The sequence below is a fragment of the Homo sapiens genome, chromosome 5, assembly GCF_000001405.40.
Source record: "Homo sapiens chromosome 5, GRCh38.p14 Primary Assembly".
Taxonomy (NCBI): domain Eukaryota; kingdom Metazoa; phylum Chordata; class Mammalia; order Primates; family Hominidae; genus Homo; species Homo sapiens.
In genome coordinates this window covers 147,608,315-147,626,121 of record NC_000005.10, presented here as the reverse complement: position 1 = coordinate 147,626,121, position 17,807 = coordinate 147,608,315, and the positions used below count along the sequence as shown (strand labels likewise).

Below are 17,807 nucleotides of genomic sequence, written 5' to 3'. Positions count from 1 at the left end.
ACAACAATGAATGTCTTGAGACTACCAATTTGAATAGCACTCTGTTATATGGGAGTATGATCTTTAGCCAGAATTTGAGCCTAGACAAAATTCCAACAAGCAAACCCAGTTGTCACTTTGTATTAAAAATAATGGCAGTGACCTTGAGTGAGAACATATTAGGGGCTGGATACTGCACTCAATGCCATAAGTACATTATGTACTTATGTACTGTTCCTTACAACCATTCTACAGCTGTCACTATTTTTTAATTTGTATAAATTTACGGAGTACAGGTATACTTTTATTACATGGATACATGGTGTAGTGGTGAAGTCTTGGCTGTTAGTGTATCCACCGCCCAAATAATGTACATTGGGGTACCATTGTTTTTATTTTATACATGAGGAAACTGAGGCTTGGGATATTCAGTAACTTGTCCTGGATTACACAAGTAGGAAGGAACAGCAACCAACACACAAATCTATATCTAATGCTCATGATATAATGACTTTAGTTCACAGTACTCTTAAAAACATGATTTTAAAAAATATGTTTCTTGATAACAAATGGACAGCAAGCAAGATGAAGGATTTTAGGTTTTGGATGGGTACAATTGCAATATGAGTCTATTTACACAAAACCCATGATTGACAGAAATTTGTTTCAAGGGGAAACCATGTGTATGTGCAAAGAACTTAGCACCTCTCCAGTCTCGGCATGCCTCTTTTCTTTCACCATGTTCCCCACAGCCAAGGAGTGGTTGAACATGGTATCCCCTTGTAAGTATCAAGGCTGTTGTGTATAAAAGTCTCGCTGTGCTGCATAATTTATCACAGGTAACCTAGAAAGAACTATCTGGGGCTGGGCGCAGTGGCTCACGCCTGTAATCCTAGCACTTTGGGAGGTCGAGGTGGCTGGATTGCCTGAGCTCAGGAGTTCAAGACCAGCCTGGGGAACACGGTGAAACCCCGTCTCTACTAAAAATACAAAAACTTAGCCAGGCATGGAGGCGTGCACCTATAATCCCAGCTACTTGGGAGGCTGAGGCTGGAGAATCGCTTGAACCTGGAGGCGGAGGTTGCAGTGAGCCAAGATCGTGCCATTGCACTCCAGCCTGGGTGACAGAGTGAAACTTTGTCTCAAAAAATAATAATAAATAAATAAATAAATAAATAGTACCTTGTAGTGAGATACCACTAGTACATCCAATACACAATGGATACTGCCTCATGTTTTTTACTTCCTTAATCTTTACTTATTGTTAATCCCATTTGACAGACAAGAAACTTGAGACTTAGAGAAATCAGGTAACCTTTCCATGCCACCCACCCATGAAAAGCTGGAATTGAAATTACGGCCAAGGTAGTCTGTCTTCAGAACCCACTTAATTATTATGCCCAATTGCTTCCCTAAAATATAAGCTGACATTTAACTTGCTAGAGATTCATTATAATAATTTGTTCTATAAAAACCTGTATATGGTAGGGTCACATTATTCAAAGTCTGCATTCAGAGTGTTTATCAATGCTAACATAAATATCATATATTCTGAGTACTGGGAAAGATAAGTTTTTATGTGATTTAGAACACCTCCACTTCACAAAAATAATTCTTCCCCACTTTGCTGTAATCAGTTTTATATACTGAAAAATTACCGTTGTCCCAATTCTCCAGTGTACCTGGCCTTCTTTCTCTCATCCTGCTTCCTCCAACAATAGAGCTATTGGACATGTTGTCCCTTCCACTTGGAACTTCCTCTTCATTTTTTCCCAGTCATCTCTCACCCATTCTTTGGACCCCAGTGCAATTATCACTCACAAGAAAGCCTCCTATGGTGTTCTCCAATAAGGGCAGGAGTCTTGTTGATCTGGTTCACCACTGCAGCCCTAGGACCTGGTACAGCACCTGACACTTGCTAGTCATCCATAAATGCATTTGCTGAATGGGTGAATGAATGAATACAAGGAAGACTGTAGTCTTGTTTCTGAACTATGAGATAAAAATGTGGGTCAGGCACGGTGGCTCGCACCTATAATCACAGCACTTTGGGAGGCTGAGGCAGGTGGATCATGAGGTCAAGAGTTCAAGACCAGCCTGGCCAAGATGGTGAAACCCCGTCTCTACTAAAAATACAAAAATTAGCCAGGCGTGGTGGCAGGCGCCTGTAATCCCAGCTACTCGGGAGGCTGAGGCAGAGAATTGCTTGAAAGCAGGAGGCGGAGGTTGCAGGAGCCGAGATAACGTCACTGCACTCCAGCCTGGGCAACGGAGCGAGATTCCGTTTCAAAAACAAAACAAACAAACAAGCAAAAAAAGGTGTTGTTTTTGCTTCAGTTCTCAGTCTTCTTCCTGAGATATAAGGGGAGGAGACGGAGCACCTCATGGGGGCACACAGATATACACCATATCAAGCAGCCATGTCAAACACTTTTGTCTTGTTAACCCCTTAGTGGATCCAGCAGATTGAAGGAGCTGAGGCTGCCCTACACCAGAAAATGATGGAATTGGAAAGTGACATGGTAAGTACAAGATGAGATATTGTAAAAATTAAGAAAAACTTACAAGGCAAATGGAAAATTAAAGTTGCCTCTACCAGTTTTATCTGGCACTGATGAAAGTTTGTCATCTTTCCATTATTATTTTATGTACAGAAGATGGAAAAAAAATTACCAGAAGTACCAAACAATTTCAGGCTATATTCTCCCCCCAAAAAATGTTAGTTTTTGGAAAATATCCAAAACTAATGCCGAAGAAAATTGAGTTTTCTTATGTTTTCTTTCTTAGGCTAAATAATTTTTCCACTTTATTTAATTAGCAAGGAAAAATTACAGAAATGGAGGGTGTAACTCTGATTTTAAAAATCCCTAAGCCACCTTACATCCATTAGAATAACTCTTATCAAAAAAAAAAAAAAAGAGTAGAACAAAAGACCTAGTGCAGTGGCTCACACCTGTCCTAGCAATTTGGGAAGTTAAGGCAGGAAGTGTGCTTGAGCGCAAGAGTTGGAGACCAGCCTGGACAACATAGTGAGAACCCATCTCTACAAAAAATAATTAGTGGGCATAGTGGTACGTGCCTGTGGTCCCAGCTACTCAGGGGGCTGAGGCAAGAGGATCATTTGAGCCCAGGAGGTGGAGGCTACAGTGAGCTATTTTTGTACCACTGCATTCCAGCCTGGGCAACAGAGCAAGACCCTGTGTTCCCACAACCAAAAAGATAAAACAAGTGTTGGCAAAGATAAGGGGAAATTGAAACCCTTCTTTACTATTGATGGGAATGTAAAACTGGTACAGCCACTATGAAAAAAAGTATGGTGGTTGCTCAAAAAAATCAAAATAGAATTACTATGTGATTCAGCAATACCACTTCTGGGTGTGTATCCAAAAGAATTGAAACCAGAGTCTGGAAGAGATATTTATACACCCATGTTCATAGCAGCATTATTCACAATAGCCAAAAGGTAGAAGTAACCCAAATGTCCATCAATGGATGAACAGATAAACAAAAGGTGGTGTATACATATCATGGAATATTATTTAGCCTTCAAAAGGAAGGAAGTTCTGATACAAGTTACAATATGGATGTACTTTCAGGACACTACGTTAAGTGAAATAAGCTATTCACAGAATTGTAAATACTATATGAATCCACTCATGTGAGGTGCTAGAGTAATCCAACTTAGAAACAGACAGTAGACTGTGGTTGCCAGAAGGTGAGAAGGGGAAACATAGAGCTGTTGTATAATGGGTATAGTTTCAGTTTTGCAGCATGAAAAATTCTGTACATTGGTTGATAACAATGTGAATATACTTTGTACTACTGAACTATACACTCAAAAATGAATTAAAAATGAGTAAGGTTGTAAATGTTATGTGCATTTTACCACAATTTTAAAAGTTTCTTTTTACTCACCAAGTCTAAAAATTGGTTATTATTAACTTACAGCAATGCATAGAAATTTATAACAAGATTCGTCTGGGCACAGTGGCTCATGCCTATAATCCCAGAACTTTGGGAGGCCGAGGCAGGCAGATTACCTGAGGTCAGGAGTTCGAGACCAGCCTGACCAACATGGAGAAACCCCATCTCTACTAAAACTACAAAATTAGCCGGGCGCGGTGGCACATGCCTGTAATCCCAGCTACTCGGGAAGCTGAGGCAGCAGAATCGCTTGAACCCAGGAGGCGGAGTTTGCAGTGAGCCGAGATCGCGCCATTGCACTCCAGCCTGGGCAACAAGAGCGAAGCTCTGTCTCAAAAAAAAAACAGAAATTTATAACAAGATTATGATTAATGTTATCATTATAACTAGAAAACGTCGTGGATTCCTATTGGATGAGGGAATCCTATAAAAACAACTTGCATTTGTGTGGCACATTATAGCTTATAATTTGCTTATATTTTATACAGTGCTCACATTTTACTAAGAGGTTAGGCTCCAATGTCAAAGCATGTAAAAAGAACAGTTTGTTATTTTATTTTATTTTTATATTTGGCCAAGAAAGCTTTCCAAATGAACAATTTCTCTTCAAAATTACCCTTGAAAGCTCTTTAAAAACACAAATATTAATTAAGCAATTAGTCTGTATCAGGCACTGTTCTAGGTACTGGAATTCAGCAGTCACCAGCAAAGTCAACAGCAAAATTACTCCATACAGATACACGATCTCTCAAAAGTCAACACCATTGAGTTTTTCTTCAGAGTTGGAAGAAGTCTTTGTTCCTTCAGTTAAACACCCAAAGAAACAATTGACTTGTGCTTGGGACTATGTTGTACCCAAAATATAGTTTTAAGTGCTAATGGCAAGATGCTGATAATATGAGAAGCACACAGAAACTGAGAACAAGAGAGGGAACATCAGATTGACTTTTCCCAGCTCACACTGGCTTTGTGGCAAAAGCAGACACCCACTCATTAAGCAGCAGTGTGGGTGGAATCACTCCCACTCTTTAAGTTGCTATTTTTGTCCTTATGTTTGCTAGTTGTACACAGATGAATTTGAATCAGTTAAACTTGTTGATTATGCAACCCAGCTATGTTACATTTTATCACATTCTTACAAAAATATATTATCATAATACTTTTACATAGATAGGCTTATTATTATTAAACACTAGTCAAAATCTATACTTAATCACGTGCTCTCAGATTAAAAATCTTTTAGAGCATTCTATGTGGATTTTTCATTATATCTTTTATGCTGCTTTCCATTGATTTTCACATTCCTGTGTGAGACTATGAGAGTTGAACTATTTCCCTAACAGACAAAATTTATGACTCTACAAATACTAGTGATTTGTCTTATGGTAGAATTAGAGGAAACATTAATCAATACCATTTGTACGTCACTTTCTAGTTAACTAAGCTGACTCTATCAATATGGCCCTTTGTTATAGGAACAGTTCTGCAAAATAAAAGGCTATCTGGAGGAAGAACTAGACTACAGAAAACAAGCTCTTGACCAAGCATATATGGTAGGTACAACAAGTGATAGAGACACCCGCAGTATTTACAGTTATGCACTGTGGAATTAAGTATCCTTTTTAATTTTCCATGCTATGTACTTGAATAGATCACGACATGCAGTTCATTCATTTACTGGTTTTCAGATCTAATTTTATAACAAATACATTCCTAGCTCTTTACTTATTCTAAGATTCTTATAAGATATTCTTATAATACCTAATAAATATTTAATTATACTTCATTTTTTAACAATTAAAAGGCCAGACGTGGTGCCTCATGCATGTAATCCCAGCACTTTTGGGAAACCAAGGTGGGCAGATCCCTTGAGCCCAGGAATTCAAGACCAGCGTGAGCAACATGGTGAAACCTTGTATCTCCAAAAAATAAAAATAAAAATACAAAATACAAAAATTAGCCAATCATGGTGACATGCACTTTGTAGTACTAGCCACTAAGGAGGCTGAGGAGGGAGGATTCATTGAGCCTGGGAGGTCAAGGCTTCAGTGAGTTGTGATCGTGCCACTGTACTCCAGCCTGGGCAGCAGAGCAAGATCCTGTCTCAAAACAAAATAAAACAAAAACAATTAAATATATGTTGTTGGATAATATTAAATGAAGAACAGTTTGGATGGCAGTGTAGATTAAAGAGAAATTTTATTAAACCAAATCCAGTCATTTGGGAGTCTGATCTAGTGGTGGAATAATGTGTTTAATGTTTGTTATGCATATTTTTAATTCATTTATCTCTTACAACAACTCTGTGAGGTATAGGTAAGATTATTATTCATATCTTACATACGAGGATAGTAAGATTTAGAGAATATAAGAACTTTGCCCAAGTTGATAAATAGGTAGTGTGTAGATCTGACTCCAGATCCTGTGGCCTACTATAATCCAGCCACAGTAACTGAGGCTTCCATGGTAAATGGGCTGTGCCTTTTTGTCTCCCACAGAAGATTATGCTGATTAAGGAGCACATGTGATCCATTCCCCTCTACCAAATTCCTATTGCATGCTTCTTCATAATGAACTACAGCTCACATTTCTTCTCTCCTTATGCTCCACCCTCCATTAATTCACAATTATGAATCAAAAGAAAAAGAGCAAGTTAAAGGAACATTTCAAAGAATTCCTAGCAGAGGTTTTTATAATGCTTTCCTGGAAGCAGCTTGAGTCACTTTTGGGGAAAGAGTGAAGCACTTAGTCCCTGCTTGTAACAAAGATGAACTTGTCTTTGCATTCCAAAATGAGTAAGAGATTCTGAGCTTGTTTGATGGGGAAAGAAGAGAATGGGTATTTGATGCTAATTAGAGACAGAGAAGGAAGTGAGTTTTGCTTCACTTCTACCTTTCACCCTTGCCTCTTCTACCTATACGAAATTAAGTTGTGTGTTTATGTGGGTCCCGAGACTACTGAGTACTCATTCAGAAAACCATATTTATCCTTAAAAAGATGAGACCTGCTTAGCCCAGGACAAGAGCTAGGAAAATATTTCTCACCAAAGCATGTCTGGTCACTTCTGTCAAACTTAGAAGGGATAAGATTGTAGATTTTAGCAACTGTTATCTGAAGCATATCAAAAAAAGAAAGAAAAAGATGAAGGCAGTGCATCCTTCATCTACAAAAGAAAGACTCAGAGAAATATTATAATGAGAGCAGCCATAAATCTCAGAGAACTTAAAAACAGACCAATTCCAAAACTTTAGGTCATTTTTTGGATTTTATTTCTCAATTTTATTTCAAGAAAAAATATGGCGACCATAAAGCCATCTTCAAGTACCAGAGGTTTGTCATGTATTAATAAAACGGGGGCAGTATTTTGTTCTAACTTAGACTATTTATTTCCAGAAGTATGGCCACCGTGGTAGATGTCTTTAAATGTATGAAGAGCTGTCTTGTTGTTTTTTGTTTGTTTGTTTTTTGTTGCTGTTGTTTTGAGATGGAGTTTCACTCTTGTTGCACAGACCAGAGTGCAATGCGTGATCTCGGCTCACTGCAACTTCCGCCTCTCGGGTTCCAGTGATTCTTCTGTCTCAGCCTCCAGAGTAGCTGGGATTACAGGTGCGCACCACCACGCCCACCTAATTTTTTATATTTTTAGTAGAAATGGGGTTTCACCACATTGGCCAGGCTGGTCTCGAACTCCTGACCTCAGATGATCCGCCTGCCTCGGGCTCCCAAAGTGCTGGGATTACAGGTGTGAGCCACCGTGCCTGGCCAGAGCTGTCAAGTAGAAGTGAGAACACACTTATTCTCAGCTACACTTTAGGATAGGAACTACAGTTAGGAAAAGTATATAAAATGGACAGGGTCCCAAGAAAGAACAAATGTTCCCTCACTAGAGAAGTTCATGAATTGGCTAGATGACCCTTATGGAATCTCATAAAAGGAGATTTTCAGAAGTGTAATTAGGCTAGAGAAGTTTTAAAATTATTTTCTTGCTAAGATCCTATAAGCCTAAAGTTGGCAGCCATATACATATACATACATAGCATACACTCCCACACCAGATATCAATGCCAAGTTCCAAAGTTAGACTTTTCTAATTCTATTTGCCAGAGAATCCAGGAACTAGAAGCTACTTTGTACAATGCTCTACAGCAAGAAACTGTTATCAAGTTTGGTGAATTATTAAGTGAAAAACAGCAAGAGGAGCTGAGGACGGCAGTAGAAAAGTTACGGCGGCAAATGCTGAGGAAGAGCAGAGAGTATGACTGTCAGATTCTTCAGGAGAGAATGGAGCTCTTACAGCAAGCCCATCAGGTGAGGACTGAGTCACTGCCTCTGCGTAGGGTTAGTACTAGCAAATGGAACTTAGTACTAGGTACACGGTATTGAGTATGGGTACGGAGAAGCCCAGGAGATACAAGTTATTTTCAGAGAGTAAAATAAATAACCATTGTTTTCTACCTTCATGCACATACAAAAATGACAGTTTTATAATAATTCAATCTTGAGAAAATTGGCATTTCAGAAGGACTGAATACTGCTACTATTTTTAGAACTACGTTTTCATGAAATACCCTTTGAATTTCATGGTGTCTGATTATCTGCCTTATGCAGGGAAGCAGGACACTCTCCAGGGCAAAAATAGTGCTTCCCATGTATTGCTCACTCCAGTCCGTAAACAAGCCTGATAATAATCCGAATAGTGTAAAAGAGAGCAAGGACCGTTCACATTACAAACATCACCACCAACAAAGCCTGGCAGCTGCTGTTTACTTACTGACATTTGCTTTATGTCAGTAACTAAACTAAGGACTCTACTTACATCATTTCATTTAATCTTCATAATAGCCCTATGAGGTAAGTATTTTTATTATCTCAATTTTGGAGATAACAATACTGTAGATAAGAATGCTTAAGTGATTTGCCCAAGATAACACAGATGGTAAGCAACAGTCAGGATGACAGCCTAGGTCTGCTGAACTCCAAGGTCAGTGTGTCTAACCACTGTATTGTACCGTCATCCATGACTTATGTGATTCATCAGCAAGGTCCAAAATAGGCACCCACTACTAATTTCCAGCAAAAATTTTTAATTGTAACTCTTTATTCATGCCATAGCCTGACAGTTGAGGGCTGAGGTCCTGGTCAAAATACAGATTCAATAAGGATTCCAGCATTGAAAGTGTCAGGTTATAGTATTCAATCCTCAGAAGCTATAAGAAACAACTGGTACAAAATTCAGATGGTATGAATAGGCGGTAAGAATCGTGTGGTCATCAGCAATCAAGGTAAGTGGAAAAGAGGCAGGGGTTCTTTTATGAGGCAAATAAAAACAATTCATGGGGGACATGACACTTAGCACACTTCAGATGCAGGCAGGAGCTTTGTGGATTTTATAGGCTAATAGATTACCCAAGTAGGTGGAGAATTCTGAAGCCACGTGTCCCAGAAATGATAAATACCTACATGTTCCTATTAATGCCCCTTCAGATTCCATCACAAAAGTTTGAGTTTTGACCCATGGAAAGACTTCTTAAAGTCTTTAATAATAGACTCTATGCCATCATTGCATTGCTTCATGCATTCTTTTCTTCTAGCAGGGGATAAAAATGTACTCTGCACAAATTTCTTGTGCTGCAATAGCATGTAATTACTTTCAACAAATTGGGAGTTATGTCATGGAAACACTGAAGTGTTTACTTTTAAGATGGACTCATAGTTATCTAAATTTATTTATGATAAAAACTGTATTCCATTTGAGTATTTCTTTAACCATTTAGCTAAGATACTTCACCTCTGAAAGAGTTGGTTTTGTTTAAGTTATCCAGTAGTGCTGATAGTACATTTCTGAACCTCAGGGAGTTTCATTGACATTTTCCATCCATCTTCTAAACAAATGTTCATTAGAATATGCCTTTCCCAGTTATTTCTTACTCTTCTTCTTCCCTTTTAATTAATAGCTGAGTTTCATAGAATTATTCCAGAAGATATTGGCCAGGATTTTTTATATATAACTATGTAATACACTCTAACTTCTAAAGTATATCACTAACCATGTATTACACCGTTCTGCTTGAATGTTTAAGAGTGAACTGATGCGTTCTTATCCTTACTTCTCTTCTCTCTCCCCATCTGCCTGTCTTAGTCAGTAGAATTACCATATCTCAAATCACTCCGGCTAGAAACACTGGAGTCTTCTCTGTTCTTTCCCTGTAAGCATTAATACAGCACCACATCCAACTGGCATTTCCCCTGAAATGTTTTTGATACTGGTCCATTTTGTTCATTTTTGTCACCCCAGGCACGTGCAGGACCTTTCATTATTCCACCAGCTTCCAGGTACTGCCAAATGTTCTCTGTGTGAATCTGACTCCATCATCTATGCATTTATTCAGTCAAACTTTTAAATGTTTTTCCTAGGTGCTAAGTACTGTGCTAGACAGAGAATTCACCGTGGACCCTGCCTTCACAAAACGAAGGACCCATAGATGGTTATAAAATGATCAACACAAAGAAAAATAATTATGATATATCATAATAAATAGCATTTTTAAAAGTACATGCAGGTGCCATGAGGACCTAGTTCTAGCTCTCCCCTTTTCAATCCAACACACATCTCATCACAGATTCTTCTCATTTTTCCTCATGGTACATTCTTGCCTCAAAGCCTCCATGATCCAATTTCCAGTTGAGTAGAGTCTTACGCAGGTCTCTTCAGGTCCTTCAGTAGCTGACTACCCCGCCCTCCAAAACCAGATTTGACCCAACCCCAGAGCATACTTCCCTCTCCACTCATGCAAAACATCCTGGTCCCACTTGTGCTGTGATTTTCCACCTCTAAGCCCTTGTTGCATAATTGCTCATCCTAAAGTGTCCATTAGTTTCCATTGCATTGATCCAAGTGTTCTCATTTTTCCAGTCCCAGTTTAAGATCCAACCCATTCAGGATCCTCTCCCTGATGAAAATTTTAAAAATGAACCACATACTGCTCAAGATATCTACATTCTATATTCTGTTATGCACTCATTCACAACCATTTATTGAGGGCCTGCTGTGTACCAGGTGCTGGGAGTATAATGGTAAGCAAAGACATACAGATCACTACTCTCATCTATCTCACAGAGGGACAGGGGCAGAGCCACAGAACAAATGAACAATGACTGAGGCAATTTCTGAGAGTGGCAATAAGTGCTATGCAGAAACGTATACAATGTGTATGTGAGTTTGGGAGTAGGATTGGCCACTTTAGGTTGGCTGGTCAGAGGAGGCCTCTCTGAAGATACCTACGATCCAAGAAATGAGCCACACAAAGATCTTGGCCAAGTGTCCCAGAAGACAGGGACAGCAAGGGCTAAGTCCCTATCATGGGAATAAGTTTGGAATAGTCAAGGAACAGAGCAAAGGCTAGAATGTCAGGAGCACGCAGAGCCAGAGTGAGGTTGATAGGAGGAGACGTTGCAGAGCTAAGAAAGGGCCACATCACACAGGGCTTTGCAGGAGTTTGAGTTTTATTCTGAGTACAACTCAACTAACTCTTCCTTCTTTTCTTCCCCACCCGCTTAAACTCAGGGGACCATGGAGATCATTTTTACATTCTGAGAGTTCACAATGGCTGCTATTGATGGAGTAAGATGGTCAAAATAAAAGGCAGGAAGAGCAGGTAGAAGCTGCCACACCAGCCCTGACAAGGGAAGACAATGACTTGGTGAACTTGGTATCAGTAGAGATAAAAAGAAGTAGGTAGAAAAGGAATGTTTTAGATCCAGCAAGGTTTTCTGTTGGGTGGATGGCAAAGGGATGGGAAGCAAAAAGAAATCAAGTATACGTCATATGATGTAGCATAACACATTTATTTGACAAAAAAATATGTGTGGACACCTTCTCCATGCTTAACACTGCACTAGGAATTGGAGATGGGTGACAAAGTTATTCAGTTTTTTTCCATTGTTTACCTTTTCTATTTAGTTTTGCTATTCCATCTGGATCTGATAGTTCTTTGAAACTGGGAACTAACTGGTGCCTTATCTGTATTGTCCATTACATTCAGCAGAGTCATGAGCATGTAAGGAGGTGCCCAACAAGCATAGATGTGATGGCTGAATGGATACTGCAGTAATTTTACATATTCATGATTTTGTCCATATAGTACTTGCCTCCATATCCAGCAGACATGCCAAGGAATTACGTGAACACTCAAGGTGGAAATATCTAGCAAATTTATTCTTTTACTGTGTAGCTATGGAGCACTGACAGCACTATGGAAATATACACCAGCACACAAATCATACACGTATAAACACACCATCAACATTCCAGTTCCATCCCTTTCTCCGGCATTCATTATGGTATAATTTCAAGGTTAACCTTTATGGTCTCACTCTGACCAAAACACACCATCTCTTGTTGCACAAACCTTAGCCCCCTTACTTTAAAGAAGAGTTTCTCAATTTCAGCACTACTGAAATTTTGAAGCAGATAATTCTTTATTCTTTTTTAGGGGGAGGGGTGGCTGTTCTGTGCCTTATCGAATGTTTAGTAGCATTCCTGGCTTCTACTCAGTAGATGCTAGATGCACATACTCCCAGTTGTGACAGTACAAAAATGTCAAGACATTTAGATAGTGGTGATGGTTGCACAATTTTATGAATATACTAAAACCACTGAATTACACAACTTAAAATAAATAAACATATTAACTAACTTTAAAAAAATGTGCAGAACTGCCAAATGTCCCTGGCTGGGGCAGGGAGAGACAAACAGTTGAGATCTACTCTTTTAAAGAGAAGGAGATATGCTTTCCAAGTTCAAGTACCCCTTGTTCTAGCTTCCCTTTTTTTCTCCTACCATTGCATTATAAAAACCTCTCTTTCTATATTATCATCCCATTTGGCTTCTAGTGTTTTCTCCATAGACTCCATTTCTCTATTTTCTAATTATTCCCTACAGAGGTATTAAATAAGAAGCCTGCATTATATAACCATGTACATGAACACAAAAAAACCTTCAGATTGCCAGATATAAATGTGAAGACTTTATTTTACTTGTAAATAGTTGTTATGTAATGTTGATTTCAAATATTCGGTGTTTAAATTAGTGGAATTTTGTTACATAATTGAGAGGTAAGTTCAAAGACAGTCTTGGAACTTTTCATCTTTAGGATTACTTGTGTTATGTTTGTTATATTCTGGTGTTTTCCTAATTTACCAGTTCCCTCCTGGGAATGTTTGTTGATGTGTAATCTCTACTTTGTTTTGTGAATTTACCAATTCTATTTTGTGAGAAAATTCTATCCTGAAACAGGGTTGAAATGGGGTTAAGATAAAAAGGTTAAGAAAGAACAATTGGATTGTTTACATCTATATGAGTCAGCCTCAACCATCTTTAATGTGGTAACAAACAATCAAAATCTCAATCCAAATGGTTCATAACAAAGCTTGTTTCTTGCTGTCTACTTCTGAGATATACTACACCCTCTACAAGGATTTGATATTCCCAAATCTTATTCCAACTTGCATTCCACAGGCCAAAACAAGTCTCTTTGCCAAACTCAATGTCAGTGGTGTGGAATCTACACCTCACTAGGAAGGGGTCTACAGGGATAGGCTCAGTAGAAAAGGTGGCAAATATTTTTTGAAAAGTTAATCAGTAGCAATGATTTTCTACCACAAACATAGATAATTTCTGAAACATGCAACATGTTTTTGGGTGGGGAAAACATACATGCGATGTTTCCAGCTGCTTGTACAAATATTCAGGTTTGTATAGGAAGTTTCGTGTTTTCATTTGGTAAATTATTTTTCCGCACAACTTACCACCTACTGATGCTTTCTTTCTTTTCTTTTCTTTCTTCAGAGAATTCGTGACTTAGAAGATAAAACAGACATCCAGAAAAGACAAATAAAAGACTTAGAAGAAAAGGTAGGTGTCAAATTCAATAACTATCTTATTATTTGTTTAATCAGAAAGCAATATTGATTTTGCTCACTGTATTTTCTTCCTGGCTTCTCAGTTATTGTGTGTCTTGCAGAGGCAGGTATAGTTACAGTAAACCTAGCTTTCACCTTCAGTCAAACAGAATGCCAGCAAAGCGTCTGCCATCAGTAACCCAGCCTTCACATATTTGTCTTTTGTGTTGCTTTCCTATTTTTTCTGTGTTTTCTTTCCTTAGTTTCCCCTTCCTTATCTTCATTTCCTTTCCAAAAGTTTCTTCAAGTTTTGTTACCCTACTTTGCTCTTTTTTTAAAAAAATCTTTTAGCACCTTTGTTTTACCTTTCCCATTATCATTCATAAAAAGACCTTTCATCCTTGTGCTGCAGTTTCACCTTAACAGTAAATTCAGAAACTTGGGTTGATATATGATAATCATGTTGTCCTGTCACTTCCCCAGTGATCTCAAAGAGTGGCTGCTTCTTCCAAGTCAGCCAGTGTTTTTGAGGGATATAACAACATGGCTCTTACAGAGGGCACTTGGAAATGCGTGTGGGGTGGGAGAACAGACAGAGCTCAGGCTGGGATGCTGAACAAGCAGCAGCGAGCTACACAGGCTTGCACAACAAAAAAAGCCAAAGCCTGGAATTCCCGAGCAAGATGGCTGAATAGGAACAGCTCCCATCTGCAGCTCCCAGCCAGACCAACACAGAAGGCAGGTGATTTCTGCATTTCTAACTGAGGTACCTGGTTCATCTCATTGGGACTGGTTAGACAATGGGTGCAGCCCACGGAGGGCAAGCCAAAGCAGGGTGGGGTGTTGCCTCACCCAAGAAGCGCAAGGGGTCGGGGAAATCCCTCCCCTAGCCAAGGGAAGCCATGAGGGACTGCACCATGAGGGATGGTGCACTCCGGCCCAGATACTACACTTTTCTCATGGTCTTCACAACCCACAGACCAGAAGATTCCCTCAGGTGCCTACACCACAAGGGCCCTGGGTTTCAAGCACAAAACTAGGAGGCTGTTTGGGCAGACACTGAGCTAGCTGCATGAGTTTTTATTTCATACCCCAGTGGCACCTGGAATGCCATCAAGACACAACCGTTCACTCCCCTGGAAAGGGGCCTGAAGCCAGGGAGCCAAGTGGTCTTGCTCAGCGGATCCCACCCCCATGGATCCCAGCAAGCTAAGACCCACTGGGTTGAAATTCTACCTGCCAGCACAGCAGTCTGAAGTCAACCTGGGGTGCCCGATCTTGGTGGGGGGAGGGGCATTCTCTATTACTGAAGCTTGAGTAGGCTGCTTTCCCCTCACAGTGTAAACAAAGCCATGGGAAAGTTCAGACTAGGTGGAGCCCACCACAGGGCCACAAAGCTGCTGTAGCCAGACTGCCTGTCTAGATTCCTCCTCTCTGGGCAGAGCATCTCTGAAGGAAAGGCAGCAGCCCCATTCAGGGGCTTATGGATAAAACTCCCATCTTCCTGGGACACAGCACCTAGGGGAAGGGGCAGCTGTGGGTGCAGCTTCAGCAGACTTAAACATTCCTGCCTGCTGGCTCTGAAGAGAGCAGTGGATCTCCCAGCATAGCGCTCAAGCTCTGTGAAGGGACAGACTGCCTCCTCAAGTGGGTCCCTGACCCCCGTGCCTCCTGACTGGGAGATACCTCCCAGGAGGGTTCGACAGACACCTCCTACTGGAGAACTCTGGCTGGCATCTGACGTGTGCCCTTCAGGGACGAAGCTTCCATAGGAAGGAGCAGGCAGCAATCTTTGCTATTCTGCAGCCTCTGCTGGTGATAACCGGCAAACAGAGTCTGGAGTGGACCCCCAGCAAACTCCAGCAGACTTGCAGCAGAGGGGCCTGACTGTTAGAAGGAAAACTAACAGAAAGCAATAGCATCAACATCAATGAAAAGGACAACCATGCAAAAACTGTATCCGAAGGTCACCAACAGCAAAGGCCAAAGGTGGATAAATCCATGAAGATGAGGAAAAACCAGCACAAAAAGGCTGAAAATTCCAAAAACCAGAATGCCTCTTCTCCTCCAAAGGATCAAAACTCCTTGCAAACAAGGGAACAAAACTGGATGGATGGAGAATTAGTTTGACGAATTGACAGAAGTAGGCTTCAGAAGGTGGGTAATAACAAATTCCTCTGAGCTAAAGGAGCATGTTATAACCCAATGTAAGGAAGCTAAGAACCTTAATAAAAGGTTAGAGGAATTGCTAACTAGAATAACCAGTTTAGAAAAGAACATAAAGGACCTGATGGAGCTGAAAAACACAGCACAAGAACTTCGTGAAGCATGCAGTATCCATAGCTGGATCAATCAAGTGGAAGAAAGGATAACAGAGATTGATCAACTTAATGAAATAAAGTGTGAAGACAAGATTAGAGAAAAAAGAATGAAAAGAAATGAACAAAGCTTCTAAGAAATATGAGACTATGAGACTATGTGTAAAGACCAAACCTATGTTTGATTGGTGTACCTGAAAGTGATGGAGAGAATGGAACTAAGTTTGAAAACACACTTCAGGAAATTATCCGGGAGAACTTCCCCAATCTAGCAAGACAGGCCAACATTCAAATTCAGGAAATACAGAGAACACCACAAAGATACTCCTCGAGAAGAGCAGCCCTAAGACACATAATCATCAGATTAAGCAAGGTTGAAATGAAGGAAAAAAATGTTAAGCACAGCCAGAGAGAAAGGGCGGGTTACCCACAAAGGGAAGCCCATCAGACTAACAGTGGATCTCTCAGCAGAAACCCTACAAGCCAGAAGAGAGTAGGGGCCAATATTCAACATTCTTAAAGAAAAGAATTTTCAACCCAGAATTTCATATCCAGCCAAACTAAGCTTCATAAGTGAAGGAGAAATAAAATCCTTTACAGACAAGCAAATGCTAAGGGATTTTGTCACCATCAGGCCTGCCTTACAAGAGTTCCTGAAGGAAGCACTAAATATGGAAAGGAAATCTGGTACCAGCCACTGCAAAAACAACCCAAAATGCAAAGACCGTCAACGCTATGAAGAAACTGCATCAACTAATGGGCAAAACAACCAGCTAGCATCACAATGACAGGATCAAATTCACACATAACAATATTAGCCTTAAATGTAAATGGGCTAAATGCCCCAATTAAAAGGCACAGACTGGCAAATTGGATAAAAAGTCAAAACCCATTAGTGTACTGTATTCAGGAGACCCATCTCATGTGCAAAGACACACATAGACTCAAAATAAAGGAATGGAGAAAGATTTACCAAGCAAATGGAAAGCAAAAAAAAAGCTGGGGTTGCAATTCTAGTCTCTGATAAAACCGACTTTAAACCAACAAAAATCAAAAAAGACAAAGCAGGGCATTACATAATGGTAAAGAGATCGATGCAACAAGAAGAGCGAACTATCCTAAATATATATGCATCCAATATAGGAACACCCAGATTCATAAAGCAAGTTCTTAGAGACCTACAAAGAGACTTAGACTCACACACGTTAATAGTGGGAAACTTTAACACCCCACTGTCAATATTAGACTAATCAACAAGGCAGAAAACTAACAAGGAAATTCAGGACTTGAACTCAGCTCTGGACCAAGCAGACCTAATAGACATCTACAGAACTCTCCACCCCAAATCAACAGAACATACATTCTGCTCAGCACCACATAGCTCTTATTCTAAAATCGACCATATAATTGAAAGTAAAACACTCCTCAGCAAATGCAAAAGAACAGAAATCATAACAAACAGTCTCTCAGACCACAGTGCAATCAAATTAGAACTCAGGATTAAGAAACTCACTTAAAACCACACAACTACATGGAAACCGAACAATCTGTTCCTGAATGACTAATGGGTAAATAACGAAATTAAGGCAGAAACAAATAAGCTATTTGAAACCAATGAGAACAAAGACACAACATAACAGAATCTCTGGGACACAGCTAAAACAGTGTTTAGAGGGAAATTTATAG

General features: G+C 39.8%; 1 protein-coding gene and 1 long non-coding RNA gene across 8 annotated transcripts in view; one reads left to right on the top strand and one right to left on the bottom strand.

Moving 5' to 3' along the window:
• JAKMIP2-AS1 (JAKMIP2 antisense RNA 1) overlaps positions 1-17,807 on the bottom strand; it is a 102,016-nt gene that overhangs the window by 35,888 nt on the left and 48,321 nt on the right. The gene's annotated exons all lie outside the window — the stretch shown is intronic.
• Positions 1-17,807, top strand: part of JAKMIP2 (janus kinase and microtubule interacting protein 2) — a 197,291-nt gene that overhangs the window by 156,607 nt on the left and 22,877 nt on the right. For all 7 annotated transcript variants that reach the window (NM_001282282.2, XM_047417951.1, NM_001270934.2 and 4 more), the window contains 4 exons: positions 2,433-2,501; positions 5,379-5,456; positions 8,008-8,211; positions 13,751-13,816. In NM_001282282.2, the coding sequence (NP_001269211.1) occupies positions 2,433-2,501; positions 5,379-5,456; positions 8,008-8,211; positions 13,751-13,816 (417 nt within the window). The remainder of the gene's footprint in view (positions 1-2,432; positions 2,502-5,378; positions 5,457-8,007; positions 8,212-13,750; positions 13,817-17,807) is intronic.